This window comes from Homo sapiens, chromosome 2 (assembly GCF_000001405.40).
Source record: "Homo sapiens chromosome 2, GRCh38.p14 Primary Assembly".
Lineage (NCBI taxonomy): Eukaryota > Metazoa > Chordata > Mammalia > Primates > Hominidae > Homo > Homo sapiens.
This window is the reverse complement of record NC_000002.12, coordinates 51,037,617-51,059,424: the sequence shown is the minus strand read 5'-3', so window position 1 is coordinate 51,059,424 and position 21,808 is coordinate 51,037,617. Positions and strand designations below refer to the sequence as shown.

General features: G+C 33.6%; 1 long non-coding RNA gene across 1 annotated transcript in view; it reads right to left on the bottom strand.

Moving 5' to 3' along the window:
* The window catches only part of NRXN1-DT (NRXN1 divergent transcript), a 1,375,317-nt gene that overhangs the window by 1,348,493 nt on the left and 5,016 nt on the right, over positions 1–21,808 (bottom strand). Inside the window, exon 2 of the long non-coding RNA NR_135237.1 lies at positions 6,971–7,068. This is a non-coding gene — a long non-coding RNA (NRXN1 divergent transcript). The remainder of the gene's footprint in view (positions 1–6,970; positions 7,069–21,808) is intronic.

The window sequence follows — 21,808 nt, the reverse complement described above, 5'->3', positions numbered from 1 at the left end:
AATTGTAGATACTGCCCTCAAGTAACCTTTATTTTATTCTGATCTTTCAATGACACAAAAATTATGTTTTCAGTGTGGACTCCAAAATTAAAAAAGAACATTTTCATTAAAACGTTTTAATCAACTTTATCAAAATACAACATATACAACATACTGCATTCATCTTAAGTGCAATGTTTGAAAATACTTAAAATGTCTACATTCATGCAAACTTACTACAATCAAGATACAGAGAAACTTCTATGCTTTTAAAATGTCCTCACAATCCCCTCAACCCTAGCCCCAAACAATTTCTCTGCTTTCTCTCACTAGACATTACATTATCTTTCTACAATTTCATAAAATGCAGTACCTATTCTTTTATATCTATGTTCTTTTGTTTATCAACATGTATTTGGAATTCAAACATACTGTGTGTGTGTTAGTTCATGCCTTTAAATTACTACGTAGTTTTCCATTGTGTGAATATATAATTTATTTATCCATTCATCTTCTTATTCTTAGGTTTTCTCCAGTTTAGAATTGTTATGAATAAAGCTACAATATATATTTGCATATATTAATTTTGTGAATAAATATTTTTATTTATTTTTTCTTTTTTTTATTTTTTGAGATGGAGTCTAGCTCTGTCACCCAGGCTGGAGTGCAGTGGCGCGATCTCGGCTCACTGTAAGCTCTGCCTTCCAGGTTCACGCCATTCTCCTGCCTCAGCCTCCTGAGTAGCTGGGACTACAGGCACCTGCCACCACGCCTGGCTAATTTTTTGTATTTTTAGTAGAGACGGGGGTTTCACCGTGTTAGCCAGGATGGTCTCGATCTCCTGACGTCGTGATCCACCCACCTCGGCCTCCCAAAATGCTGGGATTATAGGTGTGAGCCACCGTGTCTGGCCGTGAATAAATATTTTTATTTCTCTTGGGTAAATGCCTAGAAATGCAATTATGAATCATATGCTAAGTGTATGTTTAACCATTTAAGAAGCTCCAACAGTTTTCTGAAGGGATTGTACCAACTGTCACTTCCATCAGCAGTGTATGAACATTCCAATTGCACCACATCGTCTTCAACACTTGGTATTGTAGCCATTATAATGAAAATATTCTGGTATCTCATTTTGTTTAAATTGTCATTTCCTTGATGATTAATGATATTAATCATATCTCCCTTTGCTTACTGGTCATACATGTTTCTTCTTTTGGGAACGATCTATTCAAGCCTTTTTGCTCATGTTTTAATTGGGTTATTTGTCTTCTTCTTATCAAGTTGTAAACATGTTCAATATACTCTAAGTAGAAGTATTTATCCTTTTCGGATAAATATATTATGAATAGATTCTCCCTATGGCTAATAGTTTTGTTTTCTTGATGTTGTCTTCCAAAGAGCAGAATATGTTTATTTTAAAAAAGGTCAATTTATCAATTTTCTTATATGCTTAGTGTGTCATTTCCTGAAAAATATGTGTTAGACAAAGGTTGGATAGATTTTTCTCCTTTGTTTTCTTCTAGAAGGTTTATATTTTAGCTTTTCAATTTAAGTATATGATACTTGTCAAGTAACATTAACTTATTTTGAGAACAGAAGCTTTTTTGTAACTCAAGAAGCTTGAGAATGTCACTGACTCTTTGCTAGAGAATATAGCAATGCCACTGGAAAAAACATAACACATTTTTTAGACAAGTCCATTGAAAGGAATGTGTCATGGCTTTGTGAATTTAAATCAGATACTATGTTTACTATAAAATGTATAACAGCCTCAGTTTTCAAAATTTAAATCTTGATAATGTTAAACAGATGCCACATAAGCATTACTACATTTATTTTCACGAACTTTTCTCTTATTCAAATGTGTCATTCTCAGCTCCCGACTCTACTACTGTGATTCAACAGTGAGTATATCAGGTAGCGATGTAAAACCAGTACAATCTTAACACAAGGAATAAAGCAATATTTAGCAAAATTATCCATGCATTTGCCTTGGACCTGCAAAACAACTTCTATGATTACATCCTAAAGATGAATTGGCAAAAGTACAAAAAAATCTCTGCAGAGGACCATTTATTCCAGCACTATTGTAACAGTAAGACTGGAAGTAACCCAAATATCATCAATTAAAGGCTTGTTGAATAAACTATGGTTTATCTGCATATAGAATACTATGCAGCTGTTAAAGAAATGGGAAATACATTTACATATCATTAATGGTCTCCAAAACGTATTGTTAAGTGAAAAACAAAACTATCATGGAGAAAAGGGTGTATGTGTCTTTATTTAAAAAAAGTGAACATATCAATAAAAATTATATTTCATGAAGATATGCAGGGATATACTTTTGGAAATGAAGAATAATCCAAAATATAAAAAATAAAATAATAAAAATTACATTAGCTGGAGGAAGAGGTTGGAGGAATCAGGGATAGAAACCAGACTTTACAGAAAATACCTTCTTGTATGCATTTTATTTAGAACTGTATAAATATTTCACATAATTATAAGAAGAAACAAAATGTAAAAGCAGCTTCTAAGAAACAATGGCAAAATGAGAAAATAATGAATCTAGCAATGTAACATGATAATGAAAAATTATTATAAATGACCACTAAAGGTAGTCATATAACTTTATATTCTCAGTGTTTTGCATAAAACAATAAACTCTAAAAAATAAATCTCAAAGTATTTTTAGCAACCATATGTTAGTAGTAATAGAAGTATTGTTCTAAAGCCATAATATATAAGGTATAATTAAAAACTTCTAATAATAATTTTTAATATTTTAATTAGAAATATCAGTGTAAACTCAAGGTGGCATATTTTCTGTTTAAAAAAATGCCAGTCTGTTCAATAAATCCACATAGATTCTGATCAACATAGTGTCATTAGCCCCGTCCCTAGTCCCTAGAACTAGATTGTAAGCTTTTAGTAACACTTCCAACTAAAAGGAAACAGGGCTTCTGTGAGAAATAGCTGACTCCAGGCCTGGGACAAGGAACGTACAAATGAGCCTGGAAGATCTGGTTACACCAGAAAGCAATAAAATTATCAAAGACTTTTACAGTTAGAACAAAAGAACTTAGGAGGCCATTTGAAGAGATTCCTACTGCATGAAAGCAAGACACTGAATAATATTTTAATAATGAAACAAATGGATTCAAATATAGCAAACCTCTTAAGATCCATCAGTTCATAATAATACAAAACCCCCAGTGATCACTGTATCCATCACCCATCACAAATAATCCATTAAAATGAACCACTTCAAAACACACTGGCTTAAGCAAAAATCATTAATTTTTGCTCAAGTGTCTGTGGGTTTTCTAGAGGTAAGGAAACTCTAGCTTGGGCTTCCCTGTGCTTAACTCTAGTCAGCAAATGATATCCAGACCACATTTTTGTTATCCTCCTTTGTCAAGCAGCATAATGATGAGACATGCTCCTCTTCATGATAAAGACAGAAGTACAGGAGTGCATGTACAAGTACAAAGCTCAACCACACAAGCAAATTTCAAGCCCCTTATTATTCCATGGCCTCTAACATCCTGTTAGCCAAAGTAAGTCTCAAGACTGAGCCCAAAGTCAAGAAAGGGAAGAACGCTTTCCTTCTACTAAAATGAACTAAAAATTAACATTGCAAAGGGTAGAGACACAGGTAGGATGAAGAATTACAGGCAATGATGCAATCTCGCATAGTCATCTATGGAACTTTTTCCAGAAAACCAGTTAATATTCTGAAAAATCAACAAATAACAAGATATAAAAAATATTTATCTTGTCTCTCCAATAAAAAACTATATATCAAGATATCCAAGGAGTTGATGGGGAATGTATTTAATAAATGAAGAAAGAAGGATAGAATTAAAAAGTCACCATTCTAGAATGTTCCAGAATTAGAATATCACGATTCACCACCTAGAACGATATATTAGTTCATCATATCACTGTCTAATAAAACATAAGCGCAACAGTGAAAAACTTGTGGAATAAGAACACCAACAAAATAACACCAGAGTGGTTAGGAAACAATTGAGAACCAACCTAAAAATAACCTAAATAACCAAAGATGAGAAAATTTGAGCATCTATAAGCATAACAAAAACAATGAGTCAAAGTCAATTAAAATATTTAAATACATGATTCAGAGAGATATTGAACACAAAATTCAAACGAGAAAAAATAAAACACTGATGATATTTGGATGATGAAAACAAACCAACTCTTTATTTTATTTACCTAAAGGAAAATAAAGAAAAACAGTCAAGGCATTTGCCCAGCCTTCCCTCTATGAGCTGTAACTCAAGGGAAGCAAATACTTGATAAGCAAAACTTTCCCTTTATACAAATATTTCAATTAATACATTAAGAAGAATTAAAAGCATTAGAACATCACTATTTTACAAACTCTAGTCCAGTAATAGGCAATGATCATTAATTGCTAACATTACCAAAAGAAAGATAAGTGGATATTATATGTCTCTGTAGTAAAATGAACAATGCTACCTATAACGTAATATTCTCAAAACCTCCTAAATTCAATCTAATCAAGATCTCATATCCAATTTATATGAGATGGAGGGAAGAGAGAAACATGTTATATTCCCCCTTGGGATGCAATTTGCCAAACCCAGAGTTTGGGAAACTACAAACACAGAAACTGCTCAGAACAAATAAGATACATGGCATATGAATTAGTAATCCTTAAAGTTGGGTGATGGAACATGGAGGTTTTCTATTCTAGTTTTTGTCTTTAAAAGGTAGAAAAGTCAGGTTCAACATATTTTGAAAACATATTTTGAAAGTGCAGTTGAAACACAAATAACAAGTCTTATTTTGGGGGTAGATAGTCCAAGTTATTATTTAAGCTGCCTGGCTAGAATTCAGAGTGACAGTTGCTAGTGTACATTTCTGAGTCACTGAGCTCCCCTCTCACTCCTATTCAGAGTGCCACCAAATATCCATGAAATTCAGAAATTAATGACAAAATAGAATTTGTGCTAGTTCCTAAGATTCAGAAGTTCATGTCTCATGCCTAAGCAGTAACTAAAATTCCTGAAATAGATAGAAGAATGAATAATTGTTTCACAAGATCACCCATGTGGCCATATTCTTAAGTTAGGCTAACTGTATTATCTACATGTTTGATGATCAAATATCTTGTTTATAAATGACTTATGATAGTGTGTCCTCAAGAACAACTATATATTTTTCTTAATAAGAAACTCTTACTGATGTGAGATAGTCAAGGGGTTGCTACCAGTATGTAAATTAAGGACTGAAGTGGGGAAATGGTGACTACTTTTTGCTGTCATTTACATTTCCTCAGTATTCACAAAGGACTGGCATTAATTAACATCATTATTTTGGGCCACAAGGCTCTTGTAGGCCAGAGCTATCCTCTTATTGCTTTTATGTTGTTAAGCCTCTTCAAGGGAGTAATCTGATAAGAGTTTTAATAATGCAAAGATAATGTGGCTGCAAATAAAAATGTGCAAAGGTTTCTATTAAAAAGTATTTTATACAATTCAAAAAGTTAAAAGAGAAGATTTTGAACATCTCCAACATTAAAAAATGGTAAATGTTTGAGATAATGGACACCCTAATAACCCTGATTTGATAATTACACATGTGAGGTTTGGGCATTAGCATGTTAAATGTGTTGAATTATATGTGAAGTAGATTAGTAAAACAGAAATCATCCATTTGGAAGAGACAGAGATTGCAAGCATGGTCAAAGTTTAGGAAAATCATTAAGGAGATGGACAGATGAATACATAGAGAGAGAGAGAGATAGGGAGGTAACGAGAGATGACACAGAGCATATAAATAAATACATGATGGATGACAGTGTGCCTATAAAACTTGTATTGGAGAAGACTGGCAAAATTTAAATCCTGTTAGATTTAGGAAGAAAATCTAACAGCAAGTAACTGATGCTAATATTCTAAGAATTAAGAGCATGTCCTTCCTGTATCTTCTGTTAGGTTCGTTCCCAGGAAAAGAGTGCTGTCATACTGAGACAGACAGATTATTGTTCTGGCTCTATGTGACAGCTCTCATGCTGATATGGTGTACTATGGCTGTAAAGTACAATATAAGCCACAAATTCAGAAAAAGCATCAGAGGAAAACTCAAATTACAATTTTTACACAGTAATGACTTGTTATTAATCATGCTTATTCTATTATTTTGCTATTTATGAAATAGAGAAGAGCGGTTATATATTCCTCTGCACTTGGAGGTCAAGTGTGAAATGGACAGAGATCCTTGGGAGACTGAATGGTCCCACCAAATTATTAAACTGAAAACATATGGACTATATATATACACCAAACACAAACAGAAGGATTAACCCCCAACGGTACTCAAGGTTTAGCAGAATTTCATAGGGATACTGGTTAAAACCACAAATTCTTGGGCTCTACCTTTAGAAAATTCCAAACCAATAGGTATTGGAATAGGCTCAGTAATCTGTAGTTCTGTGAACACCCCAGGTGATTTCAATGTATATAGTTCCTGTAGGATGATTATCATAAACACTGAGAAGCTGACACAATATGAAAAGAGGTAGAAATTTAAAAACCTACATTTATCCATTATGAAATTTTAAGAAAATATTAGCACTCTCATTATAATAATTTGTAGCTATATTTAGGAGCATATACACCTACATTATATAATTTCAAGCAATATATTCTTAATTCAAGTAATACTTTTTAAAAATGGCTAAAAAGGTGAAATAGTTAATTTCCCACAAGGTAACTAGAAATAAAATACAGATAAATTAAGTGGAGTATTCACCAATTATTATCATATTCAATTTCCAAACTGCAATTTAAAGCCACATAGCTGTGAAAGTCCCATGAAAAGCTAAAGAGTCATTAAAAATGCCAAAGCTTTTTTATTGTTTACTTTTGGAATAGTTTTGAATGCAAAGATGCACAATCTCTGGCCATTTTATTATATTTTATCAAATAGTTACCTTTAAAAACACTGTCCTCCATCAGGAGAGATACGAGAAATTGTGAACAGCTGTTAGAGTCTAGCCAACTGTTTCTTCAACTATGATTCCAGAACAACCTGCAACAGAACAATTTTGCATTTATTATAAAATACAGACTCTGAGATCCTCTCTTACAGATATTAAATAAGAATGTGGTGGGTGTGGGTGGTCGTGTGGGGGTGGTGGAAAGGATTATGGTTATCCATAAGTAATAATTTCCAGTTTTAGAGTTGATGATCTACTACACATTGTCAAATCCTCTTCTTAACAGAGAGGTGAAAAAAAGAGTATCTGGTTTGAACTTTCACTGTATAACCTGAAATGCTTACTTTTTGCTATAGTGACAAAGAAAGCCTTTAATGCAGGGCCAGGACTAGTGGAAGATGGGTAAGACACTTACCTTGAGTGCAAAAATTAGGAGGCGCCGGCCAGGTACAGTGACTCATAACTGTAATCCTAGCACTTTGGGAGGCCCAGGTGGGAATATCACTTGACCCTGGGCAACACAGTGAGATCCCACTCTCTACAAAAAGTTTTTGAAAAATACAAATTACCTGGACCTAGTGGCATGAATCTGTAGTTCTAGCTACACAAGAGGACAGGGCAAGAGGATTGTTTGAGCCCAGGAAGTTGAAGCTACAGTGAGCCATGATTATGCCATTGTACTCCAGCCTGTGTGATAAAGTGAGAACCTGTCACTAAAATAATAAATAAGTAAATAATAAGAATGAGGATTTAAAAAATGAAATATAAAGTAATGGCAGGATAAAATGCTCTGCCAAGTCATGTTAAAGTCTGAAGTAAATTAACTAATAAGCAACACTGGACTTTAAACAAATTAAATGTTACATTGTTTTTATTGAAAATGTTATCTTTTTTGTTCGTCATGGATATTTTCGCATTTTATTTTTTCCTAGTACATTAAAATATTATCTTAATTCTTGAGTTTTTTAGTAACCCCTTAACTTTTGCACCAAAGGCATATGCCTCCCCAGCCTCACCCTAGTTCTAGCCCTGCACCTATGAACTGTGCAGTATAGAATGGCTACAGTTGTTTAAAATCATGGTTAACATCTAAGCATAATAGGTTGTGGCCCTTCAATAGCATCTCCTGGATAAATATGTTTCTACTTAAACCATGCTCCAAATATTTAATTAAATTTGTTATGTGAAGCAGCCAACTGAACTTATGTTTCCCTAGCCTGAGATTGAAGTGGGAGTGCCCTCAAGTATACTTGATGCTTAGTTTGGTTAATCATTATTTTTTTCAATTTAACTAATGAATGTAACAAGAAATAAAGAAGGTGAGGAAGTGTGTAGAAAGAAAAAAAATCATAATAAACTGTATCCAGGTTTTAATGTTAAGTAAAATATTGACTTCATAAAATAATAGTTCTCATCAACAACTAATAATGTCTTCAAAGATTCTATTTTATTGTTATTTTTATATGTTGAATGGGAGAATTTTTCTAAAGAAAATGCTTTTGAAGTCCTATAACCAAGTATAACCAAGAAGAAACTAAAGCCAAGTACTTGATTGCCTACTAAGTAATTTTTGTGACATATACTCATAGAAGCAGATTTTGTCATACTGTGTATTTCACCTTTTTTTTTTTTTTTTTTTTTTTTTTTTTTAGACAAGATCTCGCTTTGTCACTCAGGCTGGAGTGGAGTGGTATAATCTCAGATCACTGCAACCTTTGCCTTCCAGGCTCAAGCGATCTTCCCCCTCAGCCTCCCAAGTAGGTGGGACTACAAGCTTGTACCACCATAGCCAGCTAATAATTGCATTTTTAGTAGAGACAGGGTTTTACCATGTTGCCTAGGCTGGTCTTGAACTCCTGGGCTCAAGTGATCTGCTTACCTTGGCCTCCCAAACTGCTGGGATTACAGACATGAGCCACCTCAGCCAGCCACAATTGTCTTTATTAGATGAAAACAGCTTGCTTAAAACCTCCCTATGGCAGGGCTCTTTTGAGAATTGTTTAAACATGGCATAGATTTGCAGACTAAAAAACGGTGAGAAAGCTGAAACATACACTCAAAGTTAACCTTTGGACAGAAGTTAAAGGAAAGAGTGTTTGGTTAAAGGGACTTATGACAAAGCAACATGTTGGTGACAATATCTTAAAAACGTACAAAGGAAAAAGAGCAAGAGTAGGTGCATAGACATTGTAGGAGGTCATCATTAACCTGATGACAAAACCGGAGAAAGATAAAACAAAAAAAGAGAACTACATGCCAATATCTCTGATAAACATAGATACAAAAATTCTCAACAACATACTAGCAAACTGAATGCACTAACACATTAAAAAGATCATTCACTATTATCAAGTGAGATCAAGGATGGTTTAACGCATGCAAATCAATAAGTGTAATATACAACATTAACAGAAAGAAAGAAAAACATATGATCCTTTCAATAGATATAGAAAAAGAATGTGGTAAAATTCAACACCTTGTCATAATAAAAATTCTCAATAAATTAGATAGAGAGGATATGTAACTCAGCACAATAAAAGCCATATCTGACAAACACACTGCTAACATCCGACTGAATGGATAAAAGCTGAAAGCTGTTTCTCTAAGATCAAGGAAAAGAAAATGATACTCACTTTAACCACTTATACTTAACATGGAATCGAAGTCCTAGCCACAACAATTAGACTAGAGACAGAAATAAAAGACATCCAAATTGGAAAGGAGGGAGTCAAATTGTCCCTGTTTGCAGATGACATAATCATATATAGAAAATCCTATAGACTCCACCATAAAATTGTTATAACTAATAAACAAATTTATTACACTTGCAGGATACAAAATCAACATCTGAAAATCAGTAGCATTTTTACATGCCAACAGTGAACTACCTGAACAATAAATTAAAAAGCTATAAAAAATAAGATACTTAGGAATAAACTTAATCAAGAAAGTGAAAGATTTACCTCTACACTAAACACTCTAAAACTTTGATGAAAGAAACGGAGGAGATCACAAATAAATGGAAAAATGTCTCATGTTCATGGACTGGAAGAATTAACATTGTTAAAATGGCCATCTTACCCAAAGTGATCTACGGACCTAATGCAATCTCTATCAAAATATCAATGACATTCTTCACAGAAATAGAAAAAACAATTCTAACATTCATATGGAACCACAAAATACTAAGAACAGCCAACTGAATCCTGAGCACAAAGAACAAAGCTAGAGGCATCATATTACCTGACTCAAAAATATGCTACAAAGCTGTAGTAACCAAAACAACATGGTACTGGAACAGAAACACATACATAGACTAATAAAACCGAATAGAGTGTCCAGAAATAAATTCAAACAAGTACAGTCAACTGATTTTCTTCAACAAAGGTGTCAAGAACACATGTTGGGGGAAAGAAAGTCTCTTAAAGGGTGCTGGGAGAACCAGATATCCACATGCAGAAGAATAAAACTAAGCCCATACTTCTCATCATATAGAAAAATTGACTCAAAATGGATTAAAGACAAGACTTAAGTGTAAAACCCATAACTATTAAACTACTAGAAGAAAACATAGGAAAAATTCTTCACATTGGGCTGGGCAAGAATTTTTAAAATAAGACCTCAAAAGCACAGAGAAGAAAGCAAATAAATAAATGAAATTGCATCAAACTAAAAGCTTTTTGCACAGCAAAGGAAACAATTAGATAAGTGAAAAGAAAGTCTACAGCAGAGGTGTCCAATCTTTTGTCTTCCTTGAGCTACCCTGGAAGAAGAATTGTCTTGGGCCACACATAAAATACACTAACACTAATGATAGCTAATGAGCTTAAAAAAAGTCTTTGCATAAATCTTATAAATTTTTTTTTTTTTTTTTTTGAGACGGAGTTTCGCTCTGTCGCCCAGGCTGGAGTGCAGTGGCGCGATCTCGACTCACTGCAAGCTCCACCTCCCGGGTTCACGCCATTCTCCCGCCTCAGCCTCCCGTGTAGCTGGGACTACAGGCGCGCGCCACCATACCCGGCTAATTTTTGTATTTTTAGTAGAGACGGGGTTTCACCGCGTTAGCCAGGATGGTCTCGATCTCCTGACCTCGTGATCCGCCCGTCTCGGCCTCCCAAAGTGCTGGGATTACAGGCGTGAGCCACCACGCCCGGCCATAATGTTTTAAGAAAGTTTACAAATTTGTGTTGGGCTGCATTCAAAGCTGTCCTGGGCCACATGCAGCCTGTGAGCTGTGAGTTGGAAAAGCCTGGTCTACAGAATAGGAGAAAACAGCTGCAAATTATACATCTGCCAAGGGCTTGATATCCACAATATATAAATGAGTTAAACACCTCAACAAAACAAACAAAAAAAAGATATAAACCCAATTTAAAAATGGGCAAAACACCTGAATAGACATTTCTCAAAAGGACATATAGAAATGGCCAATAGGTATATTTTAAAATGCTCAATGTAACTAATCAACAGGGAAGTGCAAACCAAAACCACAATAACACCTGATTCCTGTTAGAATGGTTATTATCAAAAAGACAAAAGAAAAGAAGTGTTGGAACGGATGTAAAGAAAAGGAAACACTTATACATTGTTTTGGGGATTGTAAACTAGTAAAGCAATGGTAGAAAAAAAGTATGGAAATTTCTCAAAAAACTAAAAATGATGCTATTATATAATCCAGCAACCTAACTGTAGGGTATATGTCCAGATGAAATGAAATCAGCACGTCAAAGAAATATATGCACTTTCATGTTTATTACAGCACTATTTACAATAGCCAAAAATGAAATCAACCTAAAAGTGTCCAACAACAAATAAATGGATAAAGAATACATGGTATGTATATACAATGGAATACTATGCAGTTACAAAAAAAGAATGAAATTCTGTCATTTGCAACAACATGGATGAGCCCGGAGGATATCATGTTAAATGAAATAAGCCAGAGCCAGAAAGACAAATATTGCATGATCTCACATATATTTGGAATTTTTTTTACAAAGTTCAGTACTGGCCAGTCATGGTGGCTCACACCTATAATCCCGGTATTTTGGGAGGCTGAGGTAGGCAGATCATTTTAGACCAGGAGTTTGAAACCTGCCTGGCCAATATGGCGAAACTCCATCTCTACTAAAAATACAAAAAATTAGCTGGGTGTGGTGTTGCGCACCTGTAATCCCAGCCACTCAGGTGGCTGAGGCATGAGAATCACTTGAACCCATGAGGCTGAGGTTGCAGTGAGATGGTGCCACTGCACTCTAGCCTGAGCAACAGAGCAAAACTGTGTCAATTTTTAAAAAAGTCAATATTATAGAAGCACAGAGTAGAATAACACTTATTAAAGACTGGGAAGGGGAAGGGGGAGAAGAGAATGGGGAGAGGTTGGTCAATGGGCACCAAGTGACGATTAAATAGGATGAATAAATTCTGGTATTCTATTATACAGCAAGGTGACATTGGTTAAGGGTAAAATATTTTATATTACAAAGTGGCTAGAAGAGAAGTTTTCGAAGGTTCTCACCATGAAGCGATGATAAATTCATGAGGTGATAGATATATTCACTCCACTGATTGGATCATTATACAACATAGATATGTATCCAAATATTAAATTATACCCCATAAATATGTACAATGTGTCAATTTAAATAAATACTTCAAAAAATTAATCACAGTATCAGGAGAGAAAGATAGGTATTTTAAATGTCCCCATGTGATAAAAGTATGCAATCAAAGTTGAGATGCCATGATGAGTGTCATATTGACTAACTCATCTTTATTTCTGGGTATACTTGTGAATGGTCTTGTTGCTTATGCGGCCTAGGTTAATAAACTGATAATTTGGGTAGGTGAGAGAATAGCCTTTACACATACATAATAATATAATATTCACAAAGATACTTTTGATTATTTTAAGGAATAACACCTCATCAGCTTTTTACTTGAAGGCTCAATCAATATTAATTCACATCCCCAATTAAGTGCAGCTTACATATATTCTTATAAAATGGCTAGTGACAAAAATAAATCATAATAGATATTTTTCTAGAGATTTACACTTACTTACAAACACATCTGAAATGCTTGTTGACAAATAAAAATGGCTATAATCACTTTGAAACTATCTGAATGCCAGAACCATGTTTTACAATGACTGACAATTGAGTAAAATTAACCATGTTGCTAAGGAAAAGGCTCCTCATAGTTTAGCTTAATAATTTAAATAACAAAAAATGAGTGGGTGAGTATAATTAGCAATGAAGATGCTCATCATCACATTGATAGCGATTACGTCTAGAAATCTGATCTGGGTGCTTTTAATATCCTGTAAAATATGTGTTGTTTGATTTTTCTATTATCAGATTGTTTTGACTTTCAAAACATATAAAATACTATAATAGTTCTTACTATCAAAAATATTAATATCTTAATGCCAGCAGAAAGATTTTTGGGTTGAAACCTAAGCAAAAATTTTTTGCTTTATAAGGATTATAATGCCCTGGATTGCATTAATTTTATATAATAATGGATCTCCCCTTTTCAGAAACATTAAAAATTAAAATTGATACTTCTATATTAAGTATTTATGGTATTGTCCTACGCAGTGCAGGAAAAATGCACAGAATGTCTACTTTAGGTAATTTCAAGCTTCATAATTCTATTATTTCAAATGCTTTCTCAAAAAGTAAAAGTATTACAGAAAGTTCTCAATAGTTTTACTGGTTCCATCATGAATTTCTATGAAATATAAAACATTAGAAATACTAAACAAACTCATCCTAATTTCTAAAAGTAGACATCTTATATCAACAAATACAGCTCATTTCAGCAAAAGAAATAACAAAGTTCTAGAAATCCTGTATTATTTGAGGATATGAGATTCTTACTTTTGCCTCATGTCTTTTTGGTAATTTAATAAGAAACAATGGACTCTGATTTACATATTATTTTTACTCACATTTGGCCAAAACTTTAATAACTATTAGTCTACATTTTAAGCATTATCTAGAAATTCTGCTTTTTGTACATTCGTTAAACAACTATTGAGTGCATACTTACCACATGGTAGGCACAGTGTGAGATTCTGAGGAAACAAGCAAACAAGCTACACATAGTGACTTTCCTCAAGAAGCAAACAGTTTTTCCCCAGTTGCCTTAAAAGAAATCACCAGCAACTAGAACATTTCACAATATCGTGTCCACAACTCGGGACATGATTATTCTAGAATCCATCTATCCTGCAGATAGTATTTACAGAATAATTTCAGTTTTTATGGTGAGAATCCCCTGGATTACTCTGGGGAGCACAGCAATGGAAAGCAGGAAAAGGCATGCTCACTCTTACTCAATTGATGATGGATGGTTTTAAAACAAAAGTCAGTGCTTATAAACATGATAGTGTCATAACTGAACTGTTTTTATATTGAAGTCAAATGTATTCACAGTTTATAGTTTAGAGGAAATAGTTCTATGTACCTTAACCTAGGTACACATTAATAATTTACACATTGGGCAGCAATGCCTGATTTGCACATTTTAAAAATGATTGAAAATTTACAAAAGAAATAAAAAGCACAACTGTTTGCACATAGATTAATTTGCTATTGGAAGAAAATCTGCACAAAGCTACCTATGCCATGAGGAAAACATTCTAACTTCTGTCAGAATGAAAGGACTTTATAGGTTGTGCTCTTTATTTAGTAGTTACAGAAGGTAGAATATAGAGCAAGGCCTTCACAGGCCTTAATGTCTTCCAAAAGTCATTTCCAAATCCATCCCCTGACATGCCACGAACTTTCTTTAATAACACAGATAATAGATAGTATTTGAATCTCTATTTCTAGTGAAGATAGAATGGCTTATGTAGACCAATTCTCTGATCAAGAACTAGATTAATCTTGAAAAAAAAAAACTGTGCCAGCCTCTAATCTTAAATAATCTTAAAGTCTTAGAAAAATCTTAAAATATTTTAGTTTGGTTGCTCCGAGAGCAACTCAGACAACCAAGAGTTGCTAGGCAAAGATATCTACAGTATATTGTGATTAGCCTGACAGTCTGCAATGCTGTTATGCTCATGACATTTAAGTTAGGTTAAAGGTCGAGAACTCAAAACAAAATGAAGGTGGCATTCAATCAAAGATTACCAGGTATTTGACACATGAAACCAAATGATTGAGAAAAGGAAAGTTTTAAAAAAGGAGGCAAAAATAAAATAAGTCATTCAGACATTGCAGTTATCAGATATAAAATACCAAATAATTATAATTAACATGTTTAAAAAATAGATAATATGAGGAAAAATATTATCAAATAATGGGACCGGAATCATTAAAAGTAATCAAATAGAAATCCTATAACTGGAAAAAATACAACCACTGGTTTAAATAACTGAATAAATTGACTAGGTTAGAATCAATAGAACAGAAAATTAGTAAGTTAGATAAATGGTTAATAGAAAATATCAAGACTGAAGCAAAAAAAGAAAAAAAAAATATAGAAAAGAAGAAGAAAAAGCATGTGTACTTGAGACATATAGAACGTGGTGAAGTTATCCAGCGTACATGCAATTGTAGTCCAAACAAAAAGAGGAGATAATTAGTTGGGATCAAGCAATATAAAACTAGATACTGGCTATGAATTTTCCAAAACCAAAGAAAAATATAAGCTTAAATATTTAGAAAGACCATAAGCAGGAAAAACACAAAGAAAACCATCACTTAAATGCTCACAGTAAAAACGCCTAAAATTATGGTCTTAAAAACCACCATGGGGCTGGGAGAGGAGGACCTGGGAAAAGGCCTTGGAAAGACACATTAGCTTAAAGGAGCAATGATAAAACTGCAGAGCTGACATTTCAACATACTAAGTGGAAGCCAGAAAATATTGGGATATTTTTTAAATGCTTAAAGAAATAATGTCCAAACTAGAATATTCTATCCAGTATAGTTTTCTTTTCAAAATGAATGCCAAAATGAGTGTTTTGTAAAATACACTCCACAGGTACACAAACTAAATGAAATAACAAAGGGAATTTTTCATACAAAAAAAAAATAAGTTCAATGAAAGCAAGTAAGTAAAAGAAGGAATGAAGAGCAAAGGAAAAGATATATATATGAATAACTATAAATAAATATTGACCTATGAAGTAATCATTGTAGTGAGCTATGGATTATAATGTAGAAATATAATAAAAACAACAATAGCACAAAAATCAGAAAAGGGCAAAAGAATTTTAAAAATTTAAAAGTTCTTGCATTGTCCTGGAAGTATTAATTTATGTTTGACTCTGATAAATTGATCACTCATCCTATACTCCTAGGAAACCACTAAATGCTCCTACAGGAGAAAATATTAAGTAACAAATGTAATAAAAGAAAGGAGATGATAAGAACATAAATAGTAAGATGCTACATACATACTCAAATGTATCAGTAATGACTTTAAATGTAAATAGACAAAGAACTCCAAGTAAAAGACAAAGACTTTCATATGGAATTTAAAAAGTCAACCAAATGCAATTTATAAAAGAAGTATAATAAATTAAAACATACAGAAAGATTAAGGCAAAACATAAAAAAGATATACCTTATGGAAACTGACCAAAATATATCTGGGTTAGCAATATTAATATCTGATAAAATTAACTTTAAGGCAAGCTGTATCACTACAGATGAAAAGGAATACAACAGAATGTTTAAAACATTCATCTACCAGGAATATATAACCATCTAATTTTTCATTAAACAAATTAAACAAATATATAAAGAAAAAATACATGAAGGTTATGTATTTATAACAAAATATGTAAAGAAACTTTTACAGAATGTGAAGTATTTAGAATATATAAAGTATATGGTAAATAAACTTGATCTGGCAGACATAAAACATTTGCTCCTTAAAATGTAAAGTGTTGGCCGGGCGCGGTGGCTCACGCCTGTAATCCCAGCACTTTGGGAGGCCGAGGCGGGCGGATCACGAGGTCAGGAGATCGAGACCATCCTGGCTAACACGGTGAAACCCCGTCTCTACTAAAAATACAAAAAATTAGCCGGGCGTGGTAGCGGGCGCCTGTAGTCCCAGCTACTCGGGAGGCTGAGGCAGGAGAATGGCGTGAACCCGGGAGGCGGAGCTTGCAGTGAGCCGAGATCGTGCCACTGCACTCCAGCCTGGGCGACAGAGGGAGACTCCGTCTCAAAAAAAAAAAAAAAAAAAAGAAAGAAAAAAAAGTAAACAATCATTGATTCTTAGGAAACATAATTAAAATTAATAACTCCCTAGTAACATTAATAAAGGTAAAAAGAGAGAATAAAAAAATTACTTAATACCAGAGGAAATGGAGCATCTGTAGAAATCTTCTATGAATAGGAAAAAATAAAATCTTAGCTTATGTGATCTCACTAGTGAATATTCTACTAAGAATGTGATGAGAAAAACAATAACGTTATTACGTAAACTCTTCCACAGAATAGAAAAGAAACCCACAATACTTTCCATCTTGTTTTATAAAGATAGTGTAAACCTGCTCCCAAATTGTAGGCTACTTTCTTTCTGGATTTTGGCAGAAATCCTATATACAATATTACCAAAGAAAATTAATAAAAGAGTAATATATGATGAACAAGAAATGCATATGCCAGGAATTTAAGAATGGTCAAAATTTCAAAAATAACCAGTGTAATTCATCACATTAACCAAAGAAATAAGACAAATTATATGATTATTTCAATAAATGTTGAAACAGTATTTGAAGGATTTCACCAATATTAGCAGATTGGGATTAGAAAGGAATTTACTTAATCTAATAAAGTATATATATATGAAGTATAATAAACGTGCATAATGCTGAATTATTAAAAGCTACAAAATATTATGATTCATTATAAAAGCTCATTGAGACAAAAATATAAATGAATAATGATATAAAATATAAAATCTATCAAATAGATTTTGATAAAGTTGACACTGTAGAATAATGAATACACTATAGCCTTTTCAATATATAATTCTGTATTAATTGGATATTCCTATGGGTAAAAAATACTCCCTGAGGAAATATTAATCTAAGTGAGAAGGATTAAAATTAAAAACTTTTTGCAATGTAACACAGGAGAATATATATCAAGATAGGAAGATTTTCTTAAACAGGACACATGAAACAATAACTACAAAGGAAAATATTAACAAATTGAATTACATTAACATTTAAGTTTTCTGTTTATCAAAAAAATGAAGAAGGAACAAAGGTTAATTACAGATGGGGGAAATATTTTAATACATATAACTGCACAAGCAATCATACCCGGAAAATGTAAAGAGTCCCTACAATTGATTTTAAAAGACAAGTAATCAAATTATTTAAAAATGGGCAAAAGACTTGAATAGACCCTTTTTAAAAGAGGATATCCTAACGGCCTATAAATACATGAATTAGGTACCTAACATAATTGGTCATCTGGAAATTAAAAAATAAAATGTTAATGAGATAGCAGTGAAACCAACTAGAATATCTAAAATTAAAATGATTGATAAATTTTTTTGGCCAGAAAGAGAGAAATTCTCACACACTGTTTTTCAGTGTATAAATAGTGACAACTTTGGAAATCTCTTTGTCAACAACTACTAAAATTAACCCATGACCCAGCAATTCCATTCCTAGGCATGAACCCAGTGGAATTGTGTACATATTTGCAACAAATAACATGTACAATGTTTATAAGACATTATTTGTAAGAGTCCAATACTGAAAACAATACAAATGTTTATCAACAATTGACTAGATAAATATTGGTAAATTTATAAAACTGAATTCAACATTGACAATGAACAAAATCACTGCTGCATGCAACATGGATGGATTTCACAAACATAAAGTTGAACAAAAGAAGGCGGACACAGAGTAGAACATACTGAATTATACCACTTATCTAGATAGCAAAAACAAGCAAAATTAGTTTTGGTAGTTTGAAATCAAGTTATTAATTAAATTTATGGAGGAGAGAATAGAAAATGACTAGAAGGAATAGGAGTTTAATATTCTAATATTTTATCTTGGTGAAAGTCATAAGGGTATGTTCATCTTTTGAAATTCATCAAGATCAAGACTTACGTTTTCTGTCTTGTATTATGTTATTTTATAATAAATACGTTTATTTAAACATACTGCCAGTATTAAATCACTAGAAATCTAGAATATTCCTTTTTTCTTATCCTAACATCCTATTTGGAAAGCAGGTTCACTTTGCACTGGTTACCAACTTGTCTGAGTTTGATGAGACAGAGCACACTCATAAACAACAAGTTACATGATGGAGATTTATTATTTACAAATCGGAAGCAAGGGACAACAGATGCCTGGGATCCATTGTAAACAGGTCCCCCAAGCCCCAAGAAAACTGCCTAGAATGGATGGAGCCTTGGCTGTGAGTGGCCCACTTGCCCCACAGCTGACAGACCTTAAAAGGCAGTCCGCCCTGGGTTATATATCTAAAGGGCCATGGAACTCACTGGGCAACAATTTGAAGGACGTCCTACTTCCTGGAGAGAGAGGAGCAAAGCCTGGGCTGTCCCAGGCAGTTAATTCATAACTGAAGATGTTATATTTCCTAGGGGGAACAGGAGCCAAGGCCTGGGCTATTTCACGCATTCCTCTCTATTTCAAGATATTGCATTCTCAGCAAATTCTGTCATTATTCTTGAGAACTAGAAGAAAAAGGCAGGGGGAACTCAGTGCATTAAAAGCTTCCTGGAGAATTGTCCCGCACTATCCAAGATTTATTTCTACCTAAAATGTATCGAGATGTATCTGTTTAGGGTGACGTATTCTTGCTGTCTCTATTGTGATTTCTCTTCTTATATTCAATTTCTCAAAAAGTAGACTCTAGAATAATGTCTGTATCTTATATTTATAGTTTTCTACATTTGAAAAGTACCACAATAGAATGGTACAGTGAACAAGAATATGGACTTTAGTTTCAGAAAGATTTGGTCCTCACTCTATCAGGAGCGGTCTACAAGTTTGAAGGCAAGATGGGTAGCATCTCCAAGCCATAGTTGGTTGAAAGACAAAGAGAATGAAAGTGAGAGCAAGCCTGTGTGTGTGTGTGTGTGTGTGTGTGTGTGTGTGTGTGTGTGTGAGAGAGAGAGAGAGAATGTCTAATTTTCAAGGTTGTAATGGATAAAGAAATATATATGTAAAATCATCTGCCAAATGGTCTCTTATAATAGTATTATGCATAACTATATTTTTCCATCCTCTATCATGCATCCTGTACTAGTTTCCCAGGTTTATCATAAACTATCACAAATTGGGTGGTTTAAAATATAACTGGGTGGTTTTTATAACAATAAAACATTTATTCTCTCGGAATTCTGGAGGCTAGAAGGCTAAAATCAAGGTGTCAGCCAGGTTGGTTCTTTCCCTAGGAAAAATCTGTTCCATGCCTCTCTTTGAGTAGTCTGCTGGTTGCTGGCATTACCTGGCATTTCTTGGCTATATAGTTATATCACTGCAATTTGTCTTTGTCTTCATGATTCTCTTTCTTATATCTCCTCTGTGTTTTCAAATGTGTCTCTCCTTTTAAAGATGCCTGTCACTGGATTTAGGGCACACCCTAATCCAGTATGACCTTATCTTAATTTGATTACACCTGCAAAGACCCTATTTCCAAATAGTCACATTCATAGATAAGGTGAAGACTTCAACATATCTTTTAGGGGGACAATTCAACTCCCAACATATATCATGCAGGTACTACTATAGGAGAAGCTAAGAGATTTGTCTCTGTTGCCATACAAAGCAAGTAATAAGGCTGCAGCTAGAAACACATATAACTCAGAATTCAGTGCTTCTTGTAACATACCAAACTACTCAAAACAATTATCTTCATGTTCTAAAGGTCAACTTTTAATAGCAACTGTACTGTTTTATCTATCCTATGTGCTTGGCTGAATTTAGAACATGTAAATCAATCTTTTGAAATGTTTACTAGAGAGAATAACCACCCATGATTATGAGTTTGCATGTGTACGTGTATACAAAGCTGTGAAGGGAACAAACTGGTAGGCTGTGTGCCATTTCCAACCAGCAGAGAAGTCTATTTTGTCCTGCACAGTATTGTGGTAGTAGTGGTGATTATTTTTTAATAAGCCAAGATTTTAAAATCAGAAGATTTTACATAACATTTCAGATTTCCAGCTGCTCTTGTAAAATCGTAGGATCTGGCAACACCAGACTCACATGGTCACAAGCTGTTGCGGCCGCAGAGTGAACGCCATTTTTAGAGAAGTATGAACATTTTAGGTGTCCACACTGTCTGCCAATCCTCATTGTTTTCCCAGTTTGCCTACCTCACTCATGTATGTCAAACACCAGACACTGTTAAGCATTGCAGTCTGCTCTCCTTGTTCTAGAGAAAATTAAAGTGCCTCTACTGTACTATAACTTCATTCAATGGGATGTGTACATCAAGCATATACTTAAGGATGTAGTTTATTCCTATTTCACTGATCTTCTTTCCTCAGCAAGAGAAAAACTCTTATCAAAATAAAACTCTTCCCTATTCTGCTTCACGAGTCTCTTCAAAAACCTAAGATTTTTTTTTTTTTACATAAAATGCGGGTATTATTGCTCTAATTTGTGAAGTTACAATAAAATATCTACAACTTTCTGTATTCTTAAGATATCTATCTCTGTGGGTGTCTGTAGTATTAAATGAAAAAATGTAAGTAGGACAAATGGATGAGAAAGGCAAACAAAAATGAGAAGAAAACTCTGAAAAAAAAATGAGGTTTAAAGCTATATTAAGTAGGAGGAGGGCAGTAGCTGGAAAACTGGTA